The 25,830-nt window shown below is 38.1% G+C and overlaps 1 protein-coding gene and 2 pseudogenes across 7 annotated transcripts in view; 1 reads left to right on the forward strand and 2 right to left on the reverse strand.

Moving 5' to 3' along the window:
* Window positions 1-25,830, reverse strand: part of ENTHD1 (ENTH domain containing 1) — a 150,717-nt gene that overhangs the window by 122,339 nt on the left and 2,548 nt on the right. For 6 of the 7 annotated variants that reach the window (XM_011529928.3, XM_011529927.3, NM_152512.4 and 3 more), the window contains exon 2: window positions 22,018-22,521. In XM_011529928.3, the coding sequence (XP_011528230.1) occupies window positions 22,018-22,366 (349 nt within the window). In that variant the 5' untranslated portion in view covers window positions 22,367-22,521. The remainder of the gene's footprint in view (window positions 1-22,017; window positions 22,522-25,830) is intronic. The other variant, XM_006724150.4, reaches the window with a different exon arrangement.
* RN7SKP210 (RN7SK pseudogene 210) lies at window positions 8,873-9,133 on the reverse strand (annotated as a pseudogene).
* UQCRFS1P1 (ubiquinol-cytochrome c reductase, Rieske iron-sulfur polypeptide 1 pseudogene 1) lies at window positions 9,914-10,926 on the forward strand (annotated as a pseudogene).

Raw genomic sequence — 25,830 nt, forward strand, 5'->3', positions numbered from 1 at the left:
CTAGATACTAGCCTGGCTGTTCAAAAGCATCAAAGTTGAAAGTGAGAAAATCTAAGAAGAACGTAATAAACCTGCTTCAAGGATGAGTTAAATAACAACAACAGTAATAATTAGCACCTTCTTACTACTAAACAATATGTTTCTGAAAAGAAAGGGAGGACAGCATACCAACAAAGAATAGTACTGGAAGTAGAAAACTTAGGCAGCAAAATTAAGAAATGGAGTTGGAAGTAGAAAACATGGATTCTCTGAAATCAGAAATTAAACTAGTCCAACAGATCAATACCCAAGGATATTACATAAAACACATCAAGATAAAAAGGTTGTTAGATGAGGTGCAGGTTAAAGTGAAAATAAAGCTATATACAGTTTTAATTGGGAATCTTTTGGCTCTAAGTGACAGAAACTCCATTTGAACTGGGTAATGCAAAAGCTAGGGAAAACCAGGGGTTGCAACTGAGCCTCAGGTACAAAGGAAGCCAAGACTGGAAAACTACCAGGACATCTCTCCCCTGCCATCTCTGCTTCTCTAGGAAATGCTTGCATTTTCTCTTCTTGCAAGTTGGCTTCTTTTATCTGGATGGTTATGGCCACCAACAGCTCTAGATTCACACTGCCACCTGAGAAGTCTCCCTCTTCAAATTTGGAGTATCAGGAGAAGGACTCCAAGTGACCCAGCTTGAAACAGTCACATGCCCATCACCATGGCCATAGGGTGTGATGCCACGATTGGCAACCTCAGTTAGAGCACAACGGGGGCGTGAGGGTAGGGTCCAGGTGACAGAAAAATGAACAAGTAGACAGCCAACTTGAGGAGTCCTCCCAAACAAACAAAAAAAGGACAAGGAAATCAAATTAGTAGAGCAACTATGCAAGAGATCAAGGCCCAAGGACATTCATTTATGCAGTCCATTAATAATTTCTGGAATACTTATGTTTCAGGAAGTATTCTAAGCAATGGGGGTGCAAGTCAGAAAAAGACAAGGTCCCTGCACTTGTGACACTTACATTGTAGTTGGTTGAAACAGCCAATAATCATAAACAAGATAATTTCAGATAAATGCTCTAAAGGAAATAAAGAAGGGTGATGTGCCAGACTTTAATTTTGGGTGTGGTCACGGAAAGTCTTGCAGAAGAGGTAACATGGCTGAGTCTTGAATAGTAAGAAGCAGCCAGCTCTGCACAGACATTAGGGCAGAGTGCGCCAGACAGGGAACAGCTCCAATTTCTTCAGGAAAGCCTTCCACGGACAGTGAACACCCTCTCCCGCTGTGCCCTATGCAGACATGGGCCTCTGACTTGGCCAGGCCCTGCTTTCAAACACTGTCACAGTACCTTACCCTTGTCCTTCACAGCACTTCCACAGTTAGTCATTGCCCATTTGGTAACTGTCTTTTCCCTCCAATTAACTGTGACATCCACGAAGTCCAGACTATGCTTGTTTAAGAGACACTTAAGAAAAGTTTATGAAATGAATGAATATGCTGAGGAAAAGTTTTCCAAATGCTGAGGAGAAATCTACATACTTTTTTTTTTTTGAGACGGAGTCTCGCTCTGTTGCCCAGGCTGGAATGCAGTGGCACGATCTCGGCCCACCGCCAGCTCTGCCTCCTGGGTTCAAGCGATTCTCCTGCCTCAGCCTCCGGAGTAGCTGGGACTACAGGCGCCCGCCACCAGGCCCGGCTAATTTTTTTGCATTTTTAGTAGAGACGGGGTTTCACCGTGTTAGCCAGGATGGTCTTGATCTCCTGACCTCACGATCCACCCACCTCAGCCTCCCAAAGTGCTGGGATTACAGGCGTGAGCCACCGCGCCCGGCCCGAGAAATCTATATACATTTACAGCTGACCATCGTGTAAAGAGATTGCAAATATGGTAAATTCAAAGATCTTTGGCATTGAGATGCACCACTAGGAAAAATATGTATCAGAAGATCTTTATACTAAAACACGTGCTAGGCTTCAAACAATCGTAAAAATCTTAATACTCCTGTCTCTATTCCTGACCTACTGCCCTACCAAAATCTACTCTTCTTCCCATATTCCTTTCTCGGTGACTTTTATCTCTACTCTAAGTTAGAAATATGAACATATACCTCCCAAATTCAGTTATCCACGTCTATTGACTATACCCACTAATTATCTTCCAAATCCATTCTCTCCTCTTCATCTTGATTCAGACCTTGATCATTTGTTGCCTGTGGTGTCCTAAATTACTTACTTAGCTTTAGTCTCCCTTCCAATCTACCCTCCACAATGCCTTCAGGTAACGCGGTGGGGGTAGAAAGGGAGGGGAGAAGTATCTAAAATATCTGATCAAGTTTCCAGGATAGAAAACCTTCAGTTGGTTGCAGTGAGCCGAGATCGCGCCATTGCACTCCAGCCTGGGCGATGAGAGCACAACTCCGTCTCAAAAAAAAAATCCCTCCAGTCAAGTTGACACAGTAAGTTCATGCTTCAAAGTATCCCCCTGTTCTATTCCAAATACACAGCAATAATAGACACTGCCAGTCTCAAAAACAAGATAAAAACCCCCACGAAGCAGAAATATAACAGAAATGAAAAAGCAGTGAGCGAGGCTGAAGCCAAGGGCTGCTGGGCTCTTGATCTGCCAGCCCAGAGTTCAGCTCCTCAGGTGTTAGGAAACCACAGCTGGTCTCACTCTTTAATGTTATGGGGGCAGTGTTTGTGAGAGAAGCCTGGGAAGAAAAGGAGAAGAAAAAAAAAAAATAGCCATCAACTGCTTCCCGGGATACAACTTATTTGTGGCTGTGGATCTAAAAGCAGGAGGATACACATGCAGTCTTAATACTTGGAACTAAATGAAGCCACCTGCTTGCTCAGCCCCTGGGTCTAGGACATTCTAGTATTATCACAGGGCATGTGCCCCAAGCCAACTTTATAAGGCCTGTACAGGAGGGAGTCTAGAAGACCTGGGTAGAGGGAACTGGAGAAACCTTTATTTTATTAAAAAAAAAAAAAAAAAGGAAGGAAATGAACATGAGTGGTTGTGGGAAAAAATCTCCCACTCAAAATAGCCTAAACACTAAAATTCTAAAATACACATTTTTAAAATCTAACGCTAAGAAAGTCAGCCAATGAAATCAGCAATCTATGTAAGACCTCAAACTATAAGAATCCCAGAAGAAAAGCTAGAAAACACCACGCTGGACATTGAACTTGGGAAATAATTTATGAGTAAGTCCTCAAAAGCAACTGCAATAAAACCCAAAAATTGACCAGTGGCACCTAATTCAGCTAACGAGCTTCTGCACAACAAAAGAAACTATCAGTGTAAAGAGACAGCCTATAGAATGGGAGAAAATATTCATAAACTATGCATCTGACAAAGGTCTGATATTCAGAATCTATAAGGAACTTAAACAATTAAACAAGCAAAAAACAAATAACCCAACTAAAAAATGGGCAAAACATGCACAGATACTTCTCAAAAGACATACAATTGGCCAAAAAACACACAGAAAAAATGCTCCACATCACTAACCATCAGAGAAATGCAAAGCAAAACCACAATGAGATACCATCTCACACCAGTCAGAATGGCTATTATCAAAAAGCCAAAAAACAACAGATGCTGGTAAGGCTGTGGAGAAAAGGGGACACTTGTATACTACTGGTGGGAATGTAAATTCGTTCAACCATGGTAGAAAACAGTCTGGAGATTTCTCAAATAACTGAGAACTGGATTCAACCCAGCAATCCCATTACTAGGTATATATCCAAAAGGAAATACATAATTCTGCCAAAAATACACATGCACTTGTATGTTCACTGCAGCACTGTTCACAATAGCAAAGACGTGGAATCAATCTAGGTGCCCATCAATGGTGGATTGAATGAAGAGAGTGTGGTACATATACCACGAAATACTATGCAGCCATAAAAAAGAATGAAATCATGTCCTTTGCAGCAACATGGGTGCAGCTGGAGGCCATTATCCTAAGCAAATTCATGCAGGAACAGAAAACCAAATACTGGATGTTCTCACTTATAAATGGGAGAATGGGAGCTAAACATTGGGTACCCATAGACATAAAGATGGCAACACCAGAAACAGGACTACTGGAAGTGGGAGGAGAGAAGGGAGGCAAGGGCTGAAAAATGCACTATTGAGTACTATGATTAGTACACGGGTGATGGGATCAATCATACCCCAAACCTCAGCATCACACAGTGTATCCAGGTAACAAACCTGCACATGTACCCCTTGAATCTAAAATAAAAGTTAAAATTGTAAAAAAAAAAAAAAAACCAGCAATCACAATATAAATCCACACCAAATGAAATCAATGTTTCTATAGGATCTTCTATGGAATCTATATTCTATGATTTGAAAACCCTCTAACAAAGATTTTTAAATAAAGAGATTAATACATGACTCATATTGACAACAAGGAATATAAAAGTATAAAACAAAACAAAGGCAGATATGAAACAGGAACAGATGGATATGAAAAAAATCAATTAAAATCCTAGAAATGAAAACTACAGTCATTGAGATTTTTTTAAAAAAATTCAACATCCAAGGTAAAAACCAGACTAGAACAGCTGAAGATAGATTTGGTAATTGGAGAACAGTACTTTATTTATTTATTTATTTATTTATTTATTTATTTATTTATTTTTGAGACAGTCTCAATGTCTCAACCTGCCACCTAGGCTGGAGTGTAGTGGCACAATCTCAGCTCACTGCAAACTCCGCCTCCTGGGTTCAAGCAATTCTCATGCCTCAGCCTCCCGAGTGGCTGGGATTACAGGCAGACACCACCAGGCCTGGCTAATTTTTGTATGTTTAATATCTTTGCCATGTCGGCCAGGCTGGTCTTCAACTCCTGGCCTCAAGTGATCCACCTGCCTTGACCTCCCAAAGTGATGGGATTACAGGTATGAGCCACCGTGTCCAGCCAACAGGAGAACAGTACTAAGGAATTCTCCCAAAATACAGCACAGAGAGGCAACAAGATTAAAAAGATTAATTAAAAGTCATAAAGAACAGATTATAGGCCCTAATATTCGTCTAGAGGAAGTTTCAAAAGAAAATTAAGGTAATAGAAAAAAAGCAATATTCAGAGACAAGAGTTGAGAATTTTACAGAAAAGACATAAATTTTCATGTCAAAAATGATCTCCAAAGACGAAGTAAGATAAATAAAAATAAATCTATACCAGAAACACTTCAGAAAAATAGAAGAATATTTAGGATAAAGAGAAAATATTAAACCTACAAATTCCTTCTTTGGGTTTATAATAGCATACTTGCCATTCAGTCGGCCCATCAGCCATTGTCAGCAAATGCTGATTTCCCACTTCCACCACAGAAAGAGAAGAAACTGAGATACAAATAAAGTATCCTCAGCCCTCCAAACCTAGTAAGGGAGGCCAATGTGTGAATCAATAATTATGGCAGTGTGACAGGGCTACAATGTATACGTGGACAAGGTGCTAGGGACAAGTAGAGGGTGACCACTTTACAGAACAGTAGAAAAGACCTCCTTTTCTACTGGCTCATATCTGTAATTCTAACATTTTGGGAGGCCGAGGTGGGAGGATCACTTGAGGCCAGGAGTTTGAGACCAGCCTGGGCAACATACAGAGATCCCTTCTCTACATTAAAAAGAAAGAAAGAAAGAAAATTAGCTAGTCATGGTGGCAAACACTTGTAGTCCCCACTACTCAGGAGACAACTTGAGCCCAGGAGTTGGAAGCTGCAGTGAGCTGTGATCACACCATTACACTCCAACCGGGGCAATGGAGTGAGAGCCCATCTTCTAAAATAAATAAATAAATAAATAAATAAATAAATAAATAAATAAATAAATACGGACCTTCCTAGTGAGTATCTGAATGGAGCTTTATTTGAACATGAATATCTGTTCTAGGAAATGAAAATAATAAAAGTTAAAATCTATCAAGAGCTGATAGTAGTAACTAATATCGACAGGTAACTTACTATGTGACTAACTCTCAGACATATCTCTAATCCTCACAACCATCCTCAGAGTTAAGTCCATTTTACCAAAGAGAAAAGTAAGGTTTAGGGTGATGAAGTAACTTTCCTGAAGTCATAAAGCTAATAAACTAGAAAGTGGAGGTTGGCTTTAATTTCTTTGACTGACCTTAGCATATACTTACCAGTGATTTCATTTGATGAGAACCTTAAGAGAGAATAGTTCTGTTGACACAGCACTGAAAGGGCTAAACTGGTTGCTTTCCCTTTTTTGTTTACTGTGCTTTGTCGTCCATCTGAGTACAATAAATAAAGAGCTCCGTGGGAAGACTAGCCAGCTGGGTAAAAGTCACATTTAAGCTTAAAAGAATTCATGCTTTGCTTCTTGCTATCATGATTACCAACAGGATTACATTTGTTGAAAAGGAACACAAGGCTAAATATTCAACTATTTTAAATAAAAGTTTTTGGTTTAAATTCACAATGATACAACTTCTAACAACAAGGCTTATGATGACCTAAAGCCTGTAACATATGTTTGTTAAAGGAAACTATTTGTTCATCAAAAATATTTGTTACAGGAAATTACATTTGCTCACTTAAGCTATAAATGAACTCAGAAGCCTGTGTTAATTAACCCACCAACCATGAGTGCATTGAAATTGCACTAATTTATTAATCTAATCCACCATCATATATTAGGTGGGTTCACCGATTAGAGAATTCTGACTCTCGATGTCTGACACTAGTCTGAAAATTAAATCTGATCCACTTTTAAGCTAGAATGTTTCCTATAATGCTTGGCCCCTGTATCATACTACTAGGAACTGCCTCATATACCCCAAATCCATCCCTTCTGTGAGTGTATTAATGCCCCCAAATTTTAGTTATTTGGCTTTATAGCCTTGACATGGCTAATCAACATCTAGAGCAATTTAAAAAATATTTCCTATTTTATTTTTCTTGAATGTATTTTTTCCAGATATCTTGGCTTTATTCAATTCATTATAATTGCCTTGAAAAGGAAGACCTCAGACATTGCTTTTTCCTTCTATTCCTAGGGTTCCCGCTTTGTCTAAACCTTTTTCAAGGGCCAAATACTTGATGTTTTCTCTCTTTCTATGAGAATCTAAACTCAAAAAACAACCTCCCCCCACTGCCCAACAAAACCTAGTGTAAATATAAATAAATGTATTATGTCTTCCACAGTATTTGCCTTTCATATTTTAATTTATATCTCATCTATAGCTTAAAGGCTTAGTTCTTAGTCTAAGATATTCAAAATCTGGTGAGCAAATAGGTAGGCAACTGGTATGAGCACATCCCTGAGTGTTGGAGGATACAATGGGAGAGGATACAATGGGGAGTATTATACTAATACAGAAATCGGTCATTAGTATAAATGTGAAGCACCTCATTCCTAAATTAGGTGACTGAAAATGAAAATGAAAAGCTACAATGGCAAGAATATCACCAATGAATGCTACTTCTAGTAAAATCACTTTTTTTTTTTTTTTTAGAGACAGGGTAGAGTGCAGTGGCACAATCATAGCTCACTGCAACCTCAAACTCTTGGGCTCAAGCTATCTTTCCACCTCAGCCCCCCATCAGCCATGCCTAGCTAATTTTCTTTTCTTTCTTTTTCTTTTTTTTTAATGTAGAGACAGGGTCTCACTATGTTGCCCAGGCTGGTCTTGAACTCCTGACCTCAGGAAATCCTCCCACAGTGCTGGGATTACAGGAGTGAGCCACCACACTCAGCCTAACATAACTTTTAATAACAACATTGAAATCTGTCTCTTTAAAATGTGGCCCTGTTTTTAAAATTATACCTTTAATTGAAATGTATGTGTGTATGTGTATATGAAATAGTTTATTTAAATAAAATTAATTGCAGTTTCATGACTTAGCTAATTGAGAATTAAAAAAACACACAAATCTATAATCCATACAATTCCTAGAATCTGAATTGGTTTTAAAAGAATACTGTAATTTGTGTAAATAATTTGATGATATTTTAAAACTTTCATATTTGATTAGATATTTTTCAGATAATTTTAATTAAGTTCACACTAGTATTTCAGTGAAACCCCATTTGGATATTTTTAAGACTCAACTAGGAGAGGCTGTTTAGTATACTAATAGCATATGACTAAATATCAGGATATATTATTTAGATGAGTTCTAATTGTGTTCAGCCATAAATTGGATATGTAACCTTACCTAAATAACTTAATATCTCTGAGCTTTGCCTCCAAGTCTCTGTAAGAGAGAAAATACCTGCTCTTCATTTTTCATAAGATGCTTTAAGGAGATCAAACAAGATCATGCATATGGAAATACTCTATTATTAAAATCTAATACTTCTCAAGCAATTGGATACCATACAGATAAGAATGAACTCTATCTCACAATATACACAAAAGCTAATTCTAGATGGATCACAGACCTAGTTAAAACTATAAATATCTGGAAGAAAACATAGAACATATTCCTTGGGATAGGCAAGTTTCTCTGACAAGGTAAAAAAGGCATTAACCATATGTATTAGTCCACTTTCACACTGCTGATAAAGACATATCAAAGACTCGGCAATTTACAAAAGAAAGAGGTTTAATGGACTTACAGTTCCACATGGCTAGGGAGGCCTCACAATCATGGCAGAAGGCAAGGAAGAGCAAGTCACATCTTATGTGGATGGTGGCAGGCAAAGAAAGAGAGCTTGTGCAGGGAAACTCCCCCTTATAAAACCACCAGATCTTATGAGACTTATTCACTATCATGAGAACAGCACACAAAAGACCTGCCCCCATGATTCAATTCCTCCCACAGAGTCCCTCCCACAAGACATGGAATTCACGATGAGATATGGGTGGGGACACAGCTAAACTATATCACCATAAAAGAAAAACAGATTGAACTTCATGAAAATTACCAACTTAAAACTATTTTTACCCCATGTTCTCCTACAAATAGATCTTGAGAGCTTGTTTGGAGGTCCTAAAAAGGGAGTGCAGCTACTCCTATACCCTTGACCAAAGAAAAATCCTCTTCTATCAGCAAAGGTCATCCTCTTTGACCAAGAATCCAACTTTAGGAGAGACACACATACAGCGGTGAGGAAGGAAAAGGACTCCTGCCTAGCCAGCCAGATTGCCCTCACATCCAAAATGACAAACTTCTACTCATCATAAGACAACATTAGAAATGGAAAAGACAAGCTACAGAATTTTTGTAGCTTGTAGGATGGCAGAAAATATCTATAATATGTCTATCTGACAAAGAACTCATATCCAAAATATGTAAAAATTCCTAGAAATCAATAATAAAAAGATAAAATGTTAAAAATAGGCAAAATATTTGAGCAGGCAATACTTGAACAGGCAAAAGATGTCCTTGTGGGCAAAAATCATATGAAAAGGCACTTAACAACTTTTCAGGGAAATGCAAATTAAAACCAAATTGAAACAACATTATACTCCCAACAAAATGGCTAAATTGAAAATAATAACATTCCTAAGTGTTGATAAGGATGTGAACAACAAATTCTCATATATTGGTAGTGAAATCACTTAAGAAAACTTTAGTTTCTAGTCATATTTAATGGTTTCTACAACCCAGAAATTTCACTCTTCAGGATATACCAAAGAGAACCGAATGCATATCGCACAGGAATGTTCATAAGAGTTTTATTCACAATAACTCAAAGCTATAAGCATCCCAAATATTATCCATCAGCAAAAGATGGATAAACTGTGGTATGCACATACAATTGAATACAACTCAGCAATAAAAACAAATGATATTCTGATATACATAACAATATGGATGACTCTCAGAAACATTATGTTGAGAGAAGCCAGAAACTGAAGAACACATACGGTATGCTTCCATTTATATAAATTTTAAGAACAAATGCAACAAATCTATACAGTTAAAGAAATTCGGTCGGTCGCAGCCCGCTCGGGCCCGTTCGCGCCCGTCCTGTCGGCCACGTCCCGCGGGGTGGCGGGCGCGCTGCGGCCCTTGGTGCAGGCCACGGTGCCCGCCACCCCGGAGCAGCCTGTGTTGGACCTGAAGCGGCCCTTCCTCAGCCGGGAGTCGCTGAGCGGCCAGGCCGTGCGCCGGCCTTTGGTCGCCTCCGTGGGCCTCAATGTCCCTGCTTCTGTTTGTTATTCCCACACAGACGTCAAGGTGCCTGACTTCTCTGAATACCGCCGCCTTGAAGTTTTAGATAGTACGAAGTCTTCAAGAGAAAGCACCGAGGCTAGGAAAGGTTTCTCCTATTTGGTAACTGGAGTAACTACTGTGGGTGTCGCATATGCTGCCAAGAATGCCGTCACCCAGTTCGTTTCCAGCATGAGTGCTTCTGCTGATGTGTTGGCCCTGGCGAAAATCGAAATCAAGTTATCCGATATTCCAGAAGGCAAGAACATGGCTTTCAAATGGAGAGGCAAACCCCTGTTTGTACGTCATAGAACCCAGAAGGAAATTAAGCAGGAAGCTGCAGTTGAATTATCACAGTTGAGGGACCCACAGCATGATCTAGATCGAGTAAAGAAACCTGAATGGGTTATCCTGATAGGTGTTTGCACTCATCTTGGTTGTGTACCCATTGCAAATGCAGGAGATTTTGGTGGTTATTACTGCCCTTGCCATGGGTCACACTATGATGCATCTGGCAGGATCAGATTGGGTCCTGCTACTCTCAACCTTGAAGTCCCCACGTATGAGTTCACCAGTGACGATATGGTGATTGTTGGTTAGAGACTTGGACTCAAGTCATAGGCTTCTTTCAGTCTTTATGTCACCTCAGGAGACTTATTTGAGAGGAAGCCTTCTGTACTTGAAGTTGATTTGAAATATGTAAGAATTGATGATGTATTTGCAAACATTAATGTGAAATAAATTGAATTTAATGTTGAATACTTTCAGGCATTCACTTAATAAAGCCACTGTTAAGCACTGTTATGCTCAGTCATACACGCGAAAGGTACAACGTCTTTTAGCTAATTCTAATTAAAAATTACAGACTGGTGTACAAGATACTTGTGAAATCTGTAACTGACTTTATTTTCTTGCCCAAATATTTGCTTCCTGCTTTGCGTCAGGGACGCAGATTCTGCAAGGTCATTGTTGGGATGAAGTAAAATTAACGGGTCATCTAAAAAAAAAAAAAAAAAAAAGAAATTCAAAAAGTAGTTGCCTCTGGAGAGGAGGGAAAGCAAGCAGGGATGAAGGAACTGGATGAGGTGATTAAAATGTTCTTTATTGTGCTATGGGTGATGGTTCCACTCATCCAAATTCATCCAACTGTATACTTAAGATTTAAGTATGTCATAATATGTAAATTATATTTCAATAAAGTGGTTAGCATAAAACTATTTTAAAAAGTAATTTGTAGTGAAGAAAGGGAAATTTTTGTATTAGTCAACTCTGACATTTCTATTTTTTATCTTTCTAAAAAAAGTCAATTGCTTTAAATTTGCTAAAGGTATAAAAATATCAAGGTATTAATCATTCATTCATCAAATATATATTGAGTGATCCTACCCCAAGGCAAGGTACTAAGTGCTAGGAACACTGTTCTTGCCCTTGAAAAATTCAGAGTTTTGCAAGGGATAAAGATGTGTACATAAATGGACTGTGACAGAGGCATACAGACATTGTAGGCATAAAAGAGAGAATGTCAGACTACCTGCGAATGTTAACGAGATTCAGGACGATCACTTGGGAACCTTGAATCACCTGTGGTAACTATGGTGCCCACTCCTGTGAGGTTGAGCCTAAATTGTAATGGGTCTTAACCTAAGATAAAAGAGACTGACCCAGCCTTGCCAACTGTTTCTAGCTGTCCACCCAAGACCTTCAAATTAGTGAAGGATTTTTAAAGCCTCAAGAGCCACAATAAAGAGCACATGGTGCATGCTTCTTGCCATCCTTGACCTAAACAACTTAGAAACGGATAAAAAAAAGGATAAACCTGACTTCTGATCCAAAATGTAAAAAGTTGGAGTCGCCACTCCATCCTAACAAGTAAAAAGCTGAACATACAGAAAAATCAACTCTTCTTGGATCCGTCAGAGAGGTGTAGTCACAGGGCAAACCACTTAGCCCCACACTGAGACTGACAGGCAAATACAGTACAGAGAATCATGGCTTGCTGGAGCAGAAACCTCCAAGGAAACAAGTGCTGAGGTCGGGAAGCCTGAACTATAACTGAGAGATAAAAACTCCAGGGGAAGTCTTCAGGGCCTCCCTCACTTTTGTTTTACCTCAAGGATCTCGACCAAGTTCTCGCAGTAAATACTGGAGAAAAATCCCCTGGTGCTTCTAGCAGGGGAAGGAAAAAAAGGAACCATTCAGAATTTTCCAGAGCACTCTGTTCTTAACAAGTTCTGCCCTTAGGAGAAGCTAGTTAACCAAAGCCTAACCTGATGGGGTCTTAACAGAGCCTAACTGATCTGGAAGATCAGTAAGCCTAACTTACTGCCACATCACTAAAGGCTTATTTACCTGAGATCCTCTTACTGTATCTCATGCCCAGCTATCAAGAAAAAATCATAAGACATACTAAAAGGAAAAAATCACAGTTTGAGGAGACAGAACAAGTAACAAAACCCGGTGCAGATAGGGCCGAGATATTAGAATTATTAGACTAGGAATTTAAAATAACTATGATTAATATGTAAGGGCTCTAACAGATAATGTGGACAGCATGCAGCATAGATGGGTGATGTAAGCATGAGACAGAAATTCTAAGAAGGAATCAAAAAGAAATGCTAGCGATCAAAAATATTGTAACAGAAATGAAGAATGCCTTTGGCAGGCTTTCTGGGAGACTGGACACAGCTGAGGAAAGAATCTTTGAGCTGGAGGACATCTCAATAGAAACCACTAAAACTGAAAAGCAAAGAGAAAAACCGAATGACAACAACAATAACAAGAACAGAATATCCAAGAACTATGGGACAACTATAAAAGGTGTAACATATGTGTAATGGAAATTAACAAAGAAGAGAGACACAGTAACAGGAGAAATATGTGAAACAGTCACTGATAATTTCCCCAAATTAGTGTTATACACTAACCACACATCAAGGAAGCTCAGAGAACATTAAGCAGGATAAATGGAAATTTTTTTTTCAAAAAAAAAAAAATACTCCTGAAAGAAACCAGAGGCAAAAAACACCTTACGTATAGAGGAACAAAGATAAGAATTACATTCAACTTCTCAGAAACCAAAACTAAGAAAGTGAAGGAGAAATAAAGACTTTTTAGCCAAACAAAAATTGAGGGAATTTGTGGCCAGTAACCTACCTTGCAAAAAATATTCAAAGAAATTCTTTAGAGAAACAGAAAATGATAAAGTTCAGAAACTCAGATCTGCATAAAGAAATGAACTGCATCAGAAAAGGAATAAGTGAAAATAAAAACTTTCTTATTATTTATTAATAAAATAATAGCAACAATGTATTTGATTATACATGCTTACACATATGCTTATGTATAAGCAAAATAAGTAACAGCAATGATACAAGGGACAGGAAGAAGAAATCAGAATTATTTTATTATTATAAGGTACTAGCACTACCCATGAGGCAATATAGTGTTATTCATTAAAATTAAAATTTCTGATCTGCAAAAGACACGGTCAAGAAAATGAAAATATGAGCCACAGACTGGGAGAAAATATTTGCAAAAAAAAATGAGACGAAGGAGTGTTATCTGAAATATACACAGAATTCTTAAAACTCAACAGTAAAAACAAACAACCTGACTTAAGAAAGGGCCTAAAACCTTAACAGACACCTCATTAAAGAAGATATACAGGCCGGGCACGGTGGCTCACTCCTGTAATCCCAGCACTTTGGGAGGCTGAGGCGGGCGGATCACGAGGTCAGGAGATCGAGACCATCCTGGCTAACATGGTGAAACCCCATCTCTACTAAAAAATAAAAAAAATTAGCTCGGTGTGGTGGTGGGTACCTGTAGTCCCAGCTACTTGGGAGGCTGAGGCAGGAGAATGGTGGGAACCCAGGAGGCAGAGCTTGCGGTGAGCCAAGATTGCACCACTGCACTCCAGCCTGGGTGACAGAGTGAGACTCTGTCTCAAAAAAAAAAAAAAAAAAAAAAAAAAAGATATACAGATGGCAAGTAAGCATATGAAAGATCCTCCACATCATACATCATCAGAGACATGCACACTAAAATAACAATAAGAGATGCTACATACATACCTATTAGGATGACCAAAATCCAGAACACTGACAACACCAAATGCTGGTAAAGATGCAGAGCATCAGGAACTCTCATTATTGCTGGTGGGAATGCAAAATGGGGCTGCCACTTTAAAAGACAGTTTGGCAGTTTCTTATAAAACTAAACACTCTTGCCATACAATTGAGTACATCATGCTCCTTGGTATTTACTCCAAGGAGTTGAAAATTATTGTCCACATAAAAAACTTCATACAGTTGTTTATTTGTAATTGTCAAAACTTGGAAGCAATCAAGGTAACGTTCAGTAGGTGAATGGATAAATTTACTGTGATTCATCCCAACAATGGGCTACTATTAAGTGCTAAAAGGAAATGAGGCTGGGCGCAATGGCTCATGCCTATAATTCCAACAATTTGGGAAGCCAAGACAGGAGGATTGCTTGAGGCCACAAATTCAAGACCAGCCTGGGCAATGTAGTGAGACTCTGTCTCCACAAAAAATTTTAAAATGAGCTGGGCATGGTGGTGTGCACCTACAGTCCCAGCTACTCTGGAAGCTGATTCTCCTCTGAGAGGATTGCTTAAGCCAAGGAGTTCAAGGCTTCAGTGACTTCTGATAATGCCACTGCACTCCAGCCCAGTGACAGAAACCTACTTAAAAAGGGTACATGTTAAATGATTCCAACTAAATGACATTTTGGAAAAGGAAAAATTATGGAGACAGTGAAAAGATCAATGCTTGCAGGGGCTGAAGGAGGGAGGAAAAAATAAGCACAGCACAGAAAAATTTTAGGGCAGTGAAACCACTCTGTGTGATATTATAATGATGAATACATGTCATTGTACATTTGTCCAAACCTATAAAATGTACAACACCAAGAGTGCACCTTAAAGTAAGCTATGGACTTTGGGTAAAAATGATACATAACTGTACGTTCATCGATTGTAACAAATGTACCACTTTGGTTGGGGATGTTTATAATGGGGGAGGCTACGCATGTACAGGGGAAGAGGGTATTTGGGAACACTCAGTATTTTCCTCTCAGTTTTGCTGTGAATCTGAAACTGCTCTAAAAAACGAAGTTTATTTTTAAAAAACTTTTTAATAAAAAGGATACATTTCTGAATTCTTGTCCCAGGATAGTGATCAGTATTAGTTCAGTCTCAGTCCCTTCCATCCTGCTATATGTAACTGGTTAAATGTTTGGTCAAAGCTGGAAACATGACACATGCTGACAGGATGGAGTAAAGGAGTGAACAGAATGATCAGGATGAGGATCACATCCTTAATTCCTTCATTCAACAATATACTGTAGTTGTTGAGAACATGTATTCTGGAGCCAAAATGCTTAGATTGCAATCTTGACTCTGCTAACTAGCTGTGTGGAGAGTTATTCAACCTCTGTGCACCTTGGTTTCCCCATCAGCAAAAAGGAGCCAACAACATTTCCCATCTCAAAGGGTTGTTGTGAAGATTAAATGAATTCATACATGCCAAGTGTTGAGAATGCCACTTGTTACAAAGTGCAGTAAACATGCTTGCTAATAAAAGAGCCCAAAAGTTAGCAAATATAGAACAAATTTATTTTTAAACGCTACGTTAGTTACATTTTCAAACAATATGCTCAATATGTCCTTCTATAGCCTAGACACTGTTTCCTGTGAAGTACCTCTAACTTTAAAGCAATGTATCCAACTGGTGACTCTTTTAAAACTACAATAAGTACAATATAGAATATCACCAAAGTCTGGAAACACAGGGAAAATCATGAATTTATTTTTTCAGATTAACAATTAGACTCACTGCTTAAATTCAGAGATATATCACCTGAAAAGCTGTCTAGAGATTAAGGAAAAATGCGTTGAGAAATTATTTGAAAAAGTAACTTATTATTCTCCGATGTTTCCCAATTTTTCTGATTTGTTTTCCCAATGTTTTTCCTACTAGTATAACTATTATTAATTACTGAGCATGTGCCATGTGACAGGCACTGCTGAGGATACTGGAGATGGGGCATAGACAAAGCGGATATAAAAGGCAAAATGTCCCTGCTGTCGTGAAATTTACACTTTAGTAGGGATAGACAATAAACACATCCTAAAATAGAATATACACTATGTCAGATGAGAAGCGCTATGGGGAAAAACGAAACAGAAGGTGGCCAGGGCATATCAGTACAACAAGGAGGCCAGGCTGCTTTTTTATAACTAGGGTAGACCTAGAAGGCCTCTAATAAGACTTTCTGAGAAGAGATCCAAAGGAGGTGGAAGAGCCATGCAGGTTTCTGGAAAACAGCATTCCAGGCAAAGGCAACGCAAGTGTAAAGACCAAATAAGAGAGCCAAGAAAGCCTTTTTTTCTATAGTATCTTCTTTTGTCTTCATCTCTCTTGATAACCTGTAACTAGGGCAGACTCCAGATATAGATTACTCGGACCAAATAATTTCTCTTTCATTCATTTCTCAGTACAGACTTGACACTGCCTTCTTTCTTCTCTGAGACAACAAAATCATTTTTATCTAGCAGTTTTTCTTTCTTGTTTTTTTCTATGACTTCCATTTGATAAAAATTTACTGTCTACTCTGTGCAGGCCTGATGGTGAAAGGATGATTAACATATGGTACATGCCCTCACAATCTAGTTAAAATGAGACATATAAAATCAATAAAATATACCATAAAAAGCACTGCTTTGATATTATGAATAAAGTACTACAGCAATTAATTCTGCCCATTGAGGGAAAGAGTAGTTGGGGATAGAGGGAAAAAGGATTCTGAGCTAGGATTTGGAGACTAAGTAGGAGTTCAAAACATGGACAGCGATAAAAAAATATTCCAAGGGGAAAGACAAATCTTAAGCATAAGCACAGAAATGTCTAAGCATACAATATATTAGGAATGATTGTTAATGCAATGTGCTACATTGAAGATTAGGGAAATAAGAGCAGAAAAGTAGATTGGAAACATGTTAAGGGGCCTGACTTTATCCTGAGAGCCAGTGGTTTGCAAACTATTTTGACTGTACACCTCAGCAGTAACAAATTGTTGTGCATGCATATATCCTCAATAAATGCACATTTATTTAAGTATGAGTGAAATTATGCCAAGAGCTACTCTTCTAGTATATCACATTCATTAGAAAATACACAAAGAGGGCTGGGCACGGTGGCTCACACCTGTAATCCCAGCACTTTGGGAGGCTGAGGTGGGTGAATCACTAGGTCAGGAGTTCAAGACCAGCCTGCCCAAGATGGTGAAACCCTGTCTCTACTAAAAATACGAAAATTAGCAGGGCATGGTGGCAGGTGCCTGTAGTCCCAGCTACTTGGGAGGCTGAGGCAGGAGAATCACTTGAACCTGGTGGGGCAGAGGTTGCAGTGAGCCTAGATAGCGCCACTGCACTCCAGCCTGGGTGACAGAGTAAGACTTCATCTCAAAAAAAAAAAAAAAAAAAAAGAAAGAAAGAAAAGAAAATACACAAAGAGAAATATGTAAAAGATAATATTTTCCCCTAATGGAATCTTTTTCATTAATTTTTATTAGTGAATAATGTGTACAATGTTATCAATCAATTGCTAATGTACCTTCCATAATCAACAAATGAATGCACTATGCTTCTGTTGACATTTCAGTTCTAACTTGTATTTTTCTTGCTCTCTTGGTGGTCATAAATCATCAAGAGTACTCATAAAGTCTAGCATAGTGTACTTGTACTTACTTTTTTGGTGCTAAGATCAATTGTTAGGGAATCTGAAAGATCTTTATGATAGTCAATTTAAACACATTCATGTATACCTTATCTTATACATATAAAAGGTACAAATGCATAAAAAGACAACTTCTTTCATGATAAAAACACTCGACAACTAGGAATAGAAGAGAACTTCCCCACCCTGATAAAGGACATCTATGAAAAAACCCATAGCTAACATCATACTTGATGACGGGAAGCTTTCCTCCAAAGAGCAGGAACAAGACAGGATGTCTGCTCTCAACACTTCTTTCTAGCCAAGGAATCTAGATTGGAGAGGAAGAAGTGAAACTATTTGTATATGACAGGATCTAGTATATAGATCAATATACAAAAATCATTTAATCAGGTTTATTTCTATACACCAGCCATGAACAATCTGAAAATGAAATTAAGAAGACAATTCCAGCCTGTAGTCCCAGCTACTCGGGAGGCTGAGGCAGGAGAATGGCGTGAACCTGGGAGGCGGAGCTTGCAGTGGCTGAGATCATGCCACTGCACTCCAGCCTGGATGACAGAGCAAGGCTCTGTCCCACAAAAAAAAAAAAAAAAAAAAGACAATTCCATTTACTAGAGCTTCAAAAAGAATAAAATGCTTAGAAATAACTTTCAGAAATGCAAGAACTTCTGAAATTAATTGGAAAATAATCTTTAAAATGAAAAAAACTTAAGACATGAAAGACTTGTACCCTGAAAACTACACAGCACTGTTGAAAGAAATGGAAAAAAGATCTAAATAAAAAGAAAGACATCCTGTGTACAAAGATTGGAGAAATTAGTATTGTTAAAATGACAATATACCCCAAATTGATCTACAGATTCAATGTAAGCCCATCAAAATTCTAGCCAAATTCTAGCCATCTTCTTTTTTTTTTCTGAGACAGAGTCTCACTCTGTTGCCCAGGCTGGAGTGCAGTGGTGTGATCTTGGCTCACTGCAACCTTCACCTCCTAGGTTCAAGCAATTCTCGTGCCTCAGCCTCCCGGGTAGCTGGGATTACAAGTGCACGCCACCATACCTGGCTAATTTTTGGCATTTTTAGTAAAGATGGGGTTTCACCATGTTGGCCAGGCTGGTCTTGACCTCCTGGCCTCAAGTGATCTGCCTGCCTCCACCTCCCAAAGGGCTGGGATTATAGGCGTGAGTCACCGCGCCTGGCCCTAGCCATCTTTTTAACAAAATTCGTAAGCTGGTACTAAACTTCAAATGAAAATGCAAGAGACTCAGAATAGAAAAAAAAAAAAGCTTATGAAAGAACAATGTTGGAGACTCACACTCCTTAATTTTAAAACTTACTACAAAGCTACTGTAATCAAAACAGTACAGTACTAGCATAAGGCCTGACATACAGATCAATGAAACAACTGGGAGTACAGAAATAAGCCCATACATCTTATTTGGTTGATTGATTTTTGCAAGGATGCCAATATAACTCAACAGGGAAAAAATGGTCTTTTCGATAAATGGTAGCAGGGCATCTTCATGAAAAAGAATGAAGTTAAACTTCACAGCACATACACAAATTAATTCAAAAAGGACCCAGGATCTGAATCTACAAGCTAAAACTATAAATGTCTTAGAAAAGATAGGTATAAATCTTCATGTTCTTGTATTGGACAATGGAGCCCATAGTTTCTTATATATGACACCTAAAGCACAAGTAACCAAGGGGAAAAATAGATACATTGCACTTCAAAATTTAAAAATTTAGTGCATCAAAAGACACCTCCAACAAAATTAAAGGAATCTACAGAATCGGAGAAGATACTTGCATATCACCTTTCTGATAAGGGTCTTGTATCCAGAATATATAAAGAACTTTTAATACTCAAACAGTTGTTTTAAAAAGTTAATAATGGGCAAAGGATTGGAATAGATGTTACACCAAAGAAGACATACAAATTGCCAACAACGACATGAAAAGATGTTCAGCATCATTAGTCTTTAGGGAAATGTAAATCAAAACCACAATGAGATACCAATTCACAACCAGTAGGATAGCTATAATCAACAACAACAAAAAAGGATAATAACAAGTGTTGGCAGGAATACAGAAAAACTGGGACATTTTTAAACTGCCAGTGGAGATGTAAAATGGTACAGCCACTATGGAAAAACTTAGCAGCTCCTCAAAAAGCTAAACACTGACTTATCATATGATCCAACAATTCCACTCCTAAGTATACACCCAAATAAACCGAAAGCCAGAACTTGATACTTACACTCCCATGTTCAGTGCAATAGCTAAAAGAAACAACCCAAGAGTCCATCAACAGATGAGTAAATTTTTTAAAATGTGTAATGTACATACAATAGAATATTATTCAGACATAAAAGGAATAAAGTTCTGATACATCCTACAACATGACAACGCTGAGGACATTATGGTAAGTGAAATAAGCGACACAAAATAACAAATACTGTATGATTCCACTTATAAGAGATACCTAGAACAGGAAAATTTAGAGACAGATAGGGCCTTGGTGGAACGGGAATGGGGAGCTATTGCTTAATGCTTACGGGGTTTCTGTTTGGGGTGATGAAAGAATTTTACAAATAGTGGTGATGGCCGCACAACACTGTGAATGTAATTAATGCAACTGAATTGCACACTTACAAAGGCAAATTTTATGTTATAGTTACAATTCTAAAAAATTATACTGTAATACACCAAAATCCATATAACTGTACACCTTAAATGGGTGAATTGTGTGGTATGTGAATTATATCTCAATAAAGTTTTTTTTTTTAAAAAAAGGGAAGAAAAAAATAAACTCTCAAGCTATGAAAGAACATGGAGGAATCTTAAGTACATATTGCCAAGTGAAAGAAACCAGTCTGAAAAAGCTACATACTTTAAGATTCCAACTATACGACATCTGAAAAGACAAAACTATAGAGATGATAAAAAGACCAGTGGTAGCCAGGGATTCAAGAGGAGAGGAAAAGGATGAATAGGTGGAACACAGGACATATCTACTCTGTATGATAGTGGAATGGTGGACACATGACACCATGCATTTTTCAAAACCCACAGAACTGTAGAACACAAAGAGTGACTCCTAATGTAAGATATGAACTTTCATTAACAATAATGTATCAGCATTTGTTGATAAACTGTAACAAATGGACCACACTAATGCAAGATGTTATTAAGAGAAATTGTGTCTGAGTGGGGAAGGGTATGTGGGAACTCTGCGTAACTTTCTGCATAATTTTCCTGTAAACCTAAAACTGCCCTTAAAAAAAGGTCTATTTTTAAAATGCATGCTTCCCAGAGAGAATGCTCTGAATTTTATCCTCTTCTCATGATTCATAAGACTATTCATTTTGAACACAAATTATAATTCTACAGTAGCTAGAGAGGAAGCACTGAGCCTTTTGTCACTGTAGAATATCAGGCACTACTGAATCATCTCAGGATCCTATCCTTTCCCTACTGCACCTCCTCTTCCGCCCCCGAAAGAATTATTTTATGATCTAAATTTTTGTATTCATATAACTGCTTCCATCTAGATAGTCTTTGAAGATTCCAGCCTGTGGAAATATTTCCTTAATTTATGACTAAATTCCAGTTTAATTATAATTATAAATTACAGTGACATTATTACACCAAATTGCCATGCCTCCTATTTTATTCACTTTTTTCATTTTCTATGAGGTATCATTTTATCAGAAACCTAAGTGTGTTCACTTTTTTTTTCCTTTTGAAAAAAGTATTGTTCTCTAAGGCACTGAAGACTCAATACAGAGGATTAAATTGGAAACTATAACCGTCCCAGAGGAAAGACAGCTAGTACATTTAAGTACAACTCTTCCCCACCTCCTGGTATAAAATGATCCCCCAAAACTCCTAATCTTTATTGGCACATGCTATAAACTTTTTAAAAAAACTTTAGAGATCGGGGTCTCTCTATGTTGCCCAGGCCGGAGTACAGTGGCTATTCACAGGTGCAATCTTTCCTCACTACAGCATCAAATGCCTGGGCTCATGCAGTCCTCCCACCTCAGCCTCCCATGCACCAGGATTACCGGTGTACACCACCACACCCAGCTTATATAAACTTCTTTAACCATTACCTTGGTCTTTTCCAGCTTCATCTATGTGCTGAAAATCTTTTAGTGTTTGAAGGTTACAGAACCCCTCTCTGCAATGCTGAATAACTTTCTTTGATCCATTCTTGATGAGATAATCCATTAGGGTAAGGGATTTATACACGTGGCGCCAGTTCTTCCCATGGTCATTGAGTCTGTGCCACAGCATATTCATAATCTCTGAGAGAGAAATTGTGTTGAAAGTCAAGTCACTGATATCTAACATCAGAGAACTAGAGGGACCCCAAGGGTCGTTAGAAGTTGCTTCCCTGACTTTTATTTCAGCATCTGAGTAATTTTTCACAAAGTTTTTCACTTGTCTCCTGAACGCCATAAGTAATACAAGTTCCAAGGTGAGATGGAGGATGAAAGCAATGGAATAACAGTTTATGTCACGGGTTTATAAAACTCTTGACAGGTAATTGGTCCCCAGTTCTGCTGCTCCCAAATACAAATAATTAATCTCTATGTTGATAAAGTATCAATTTCCTGCAAGGAAAGCACAAAAAAATTTACATTAAACTTTTTTTTAAGTCTATAGAAGACCAAATCAATCTGAAAATCTAGGTTTTGTTTCTAAATCAGCCCCTCACTTACAGCAGCCAGAATTGAGGGTACCATATAACTGTTCCTAGGATAGGCATGGGAAAATCCCTCATGAGAAATTGGCCTATATTATTTAAAGAAATATAGGTTGTCTTTCTAGTCATAAAAGTTCCTGGAGAAAATATCATTCAACCTCTTTGGCCAGAAATATAATGGCTATAAAGCATTACATGGACAGCAGACAAGCAACATTTTAAAAAACAGAACTTGCACTCTGACATCTCTTTCTTTCTTTCTTTCTTTTTTTTTTTTTTTTTTTTTTCCAAAGACAGGGTATTGCCCTGCTTCCCAGGCTGAAGTACAGTGGTGCAATCATAGCTCACTGCAGCCTTGAACTCCTAGGTTCATGCAATTCTCCTGCCTCCGCCTCCCAAGCAGCTGGAACTATAGGTGTGCGCCACCATGCCTGGCTATTTTTTTTTTTGGAGATAGAGTCTCCCTCTGTTGCCCAGGCTGGAGTGCAGTGGTGCGATCTTGGCTCACTGCAACCTCTGCCACCCGGGTTCAAGCGATTATCCTGCCTCAGCCTCCTGAGTAGCTGGGATTACAGATGCACGCCACCACACCTGGCTAATTTTTGTATTTTTAGTAGAGACGGGGTTTCACCATGTTGGCGAGGCTGGTCTCAAACTCCTGACCTTGTGATCCTTCCACCTCAGCCTCCCAAAGTGCTGGGATTATAGCCGTGAGCCACCGCTTCCGGCCTGCCTGGCTAATTTTTAAATATTGTGTAGAGATGGGGGTCTCAATATGTTGCACAGGCTGTTCAAAAATTCCTGGCCTCAAGTGATCCTCCCACTTCAGCCTTCTGAAGTGCTAGGATTTCAGGCATCTCTTTATATTGTCACATATAAAAATATTATATTCTGAGAGTAATTAAAATGGGGGTAAAATTGAGTCTTAGAATCACCCACTGACCCTATGACTGTATTCTTTTTAGAACTACAAGTCCCGAGAATCAGATCTAAATATAGTCTGCTTTCTTGCTAAACCTAAAAGAAAGGAGGATCAACTATGAAGACAAACAGCTGTATATCAGTGGACTCCACAGCTAATTCATGGTACCCTAAAACCTCTATTTTAGTCCAGATAAGCCTGGTAAATTAGAGGGAAAGGTTAAATTACTTTATTTGTTCACCTTTGGAAAAAGAAGAATGAGTTTAGGATTAAACAGTGTCAACAGTAAGACTCAAATAATGCAAGGATTTCTCTAAATCCTGCAGTGATCAGCCTGTGTCTATCAGATCTCAAAACAAGGACACACAGAGAGGCCCATATACTAAAACTTAAAAGGGAAATGCAGCCCCCAAACTTTACATAATGCTTGTGAATGATCAATTCAGTTTATAGGAAACCATTCCCTTTCTCTTTTTCATTATTTTGTATTAAGGAGGGTCAGTCAGTTTGCAATTTCTCTAGTGATTCACCACTGCTGGCTGCCAAGACAGTGTACCAAATTGATTTCAAGCCCTGACGAACATCCAGACCCAACGAAACCTAGAAGATCTATAATCAGATTTTACTAGAGAAACTGCACACATACAAAAGAAAAAATGTTAAAATCCATAACAAATGTGTTCACTGCTTTTAGTTTTGCTTCCCTTTCTTGACCTTCTCAGGTAACTAGCTCAGCCTTGATTAATTTCTGTATGTGTATTAAAGGAAGACATAAATTTTTAGAAGCATCCCAAATAAACTATCACTTCTTTTTTTTAAAAAAATGAGATAACCTCTTTTTGGTAAAAATACAACACACTCTTAACTAAGCAAGACAGAAAATGTACCTGTATAAGTGGTTGGGCGTGGTGGCTCACACCTGTAATCCTAGCACTTTGGGAGGCTGCCGCGGGCAGATCACCTGAGCTCAGGAGTTCAACACCAGCCTGGACAACATGGTGAAACCCTATCTCTACTAAAAACACAAAAAATTAGCCAGGCTTGGTGGCACACACCTGTAATCCCAGCTACTTGGGAGACTGAGGCATAAGAATCACTGGAACCTGGGAGGCAGAGGTTGCACTGAGCCGAGATTAGGCCACTGCGCTATAGCCTGGGAGATAGAGTGAGACTCTGTCTCAAAAATAAATAAATAAATAAATAAATAAATAAATAAATAAATAAATAAATAAAAAAGAAAATGTATTAAATATCTGTTTAATTAAGATTTCTCAGAAAGACACTATCATTAACCCTAGGAAGAAAAAGAGAAGTTGTGTTTCTACAACTTTCTGATTTTCTCTTTTTCGTACTTCAAACACAGTCATTTTTATTTGGCACCTTCCTGCAGTGAAAAACTGATTTATAATATTTCAGCAAAGCTATTAAAATTGTCAAGCAGGAGGGTTTTTTTTTCTATTGTCCTTTTTTTCCTTCTACCAAACTCACTCAATGCAGAGATGCACTATGACATTGGCTTAGAGCAACAAATATCGATCTGTTTCTTCACGATTCTATTTTCTTTTAAAGCCCTGTTAGAATCATAACTTGCTGGAATTGAACAACAAATGTTAATTTTTTTTTCTTTTTTGGATAGCTATCTATCTATATTTTGGAAGAACAATCGTAATTTTTAGGTTTTTCTACATTCTCTAACCTATATTTTAAACTTTTAAAAACTGTTTTCTTAAATGAATTTTCTAACCCAGAAAAATATCAAAATAATAGCCTTCTAATCCAATAGAGTAGTTTAAAATGAATTTACATGACACCATATCAGAATTAAATACAACCCCAACCATTAGAAAAATCGCAAGGAAAAAGGTCTAGAGAAGTGAATTCTTATCACTTACTAATGTACAATGACTTGAACTTTACCTTGTGATATGAACGTAGAATATGTAAAACACCATTCTACTACTGCTGTCTTTTCAAATTGACAAGGAGCTCAATTAATTGGTGTTAGTTGTAAATTATATGTTGGTTTATTATGTGTTTTAGACACCTGACTACATGAAAATGCTGTTTACATACAGCATCAAATAACTGTGAGATTGTAACTACAGTGATGTGACAAAAATTGACATGAGACAAAATTAGTGCCCAAGAGGGTAAATTTCCACATTTGAATCTTGGTTGTCTGGCTACCCAACTCACTATAATATTTAGAAATAGAGGGAAGAAGTTAGGTATTTCATGTCACAAATCTGAGAGGTCTTCACCGACCTCACTAACTACTTAGGTCTCCCCAGAACC

This window comes from Homo sapiens, chromosome 22 (genome assembly GCF_000001405.40).
Source record: "Homo sapiens chromosome 22, GRCh38.p14 Primary Assembly".
In the NCBI taxonomy this organism is placed as follows: Eukaryota; Metazoa; Chordata; class Mammalia; order Primates; family Hominidae; genus Homo; species Homo sapiens.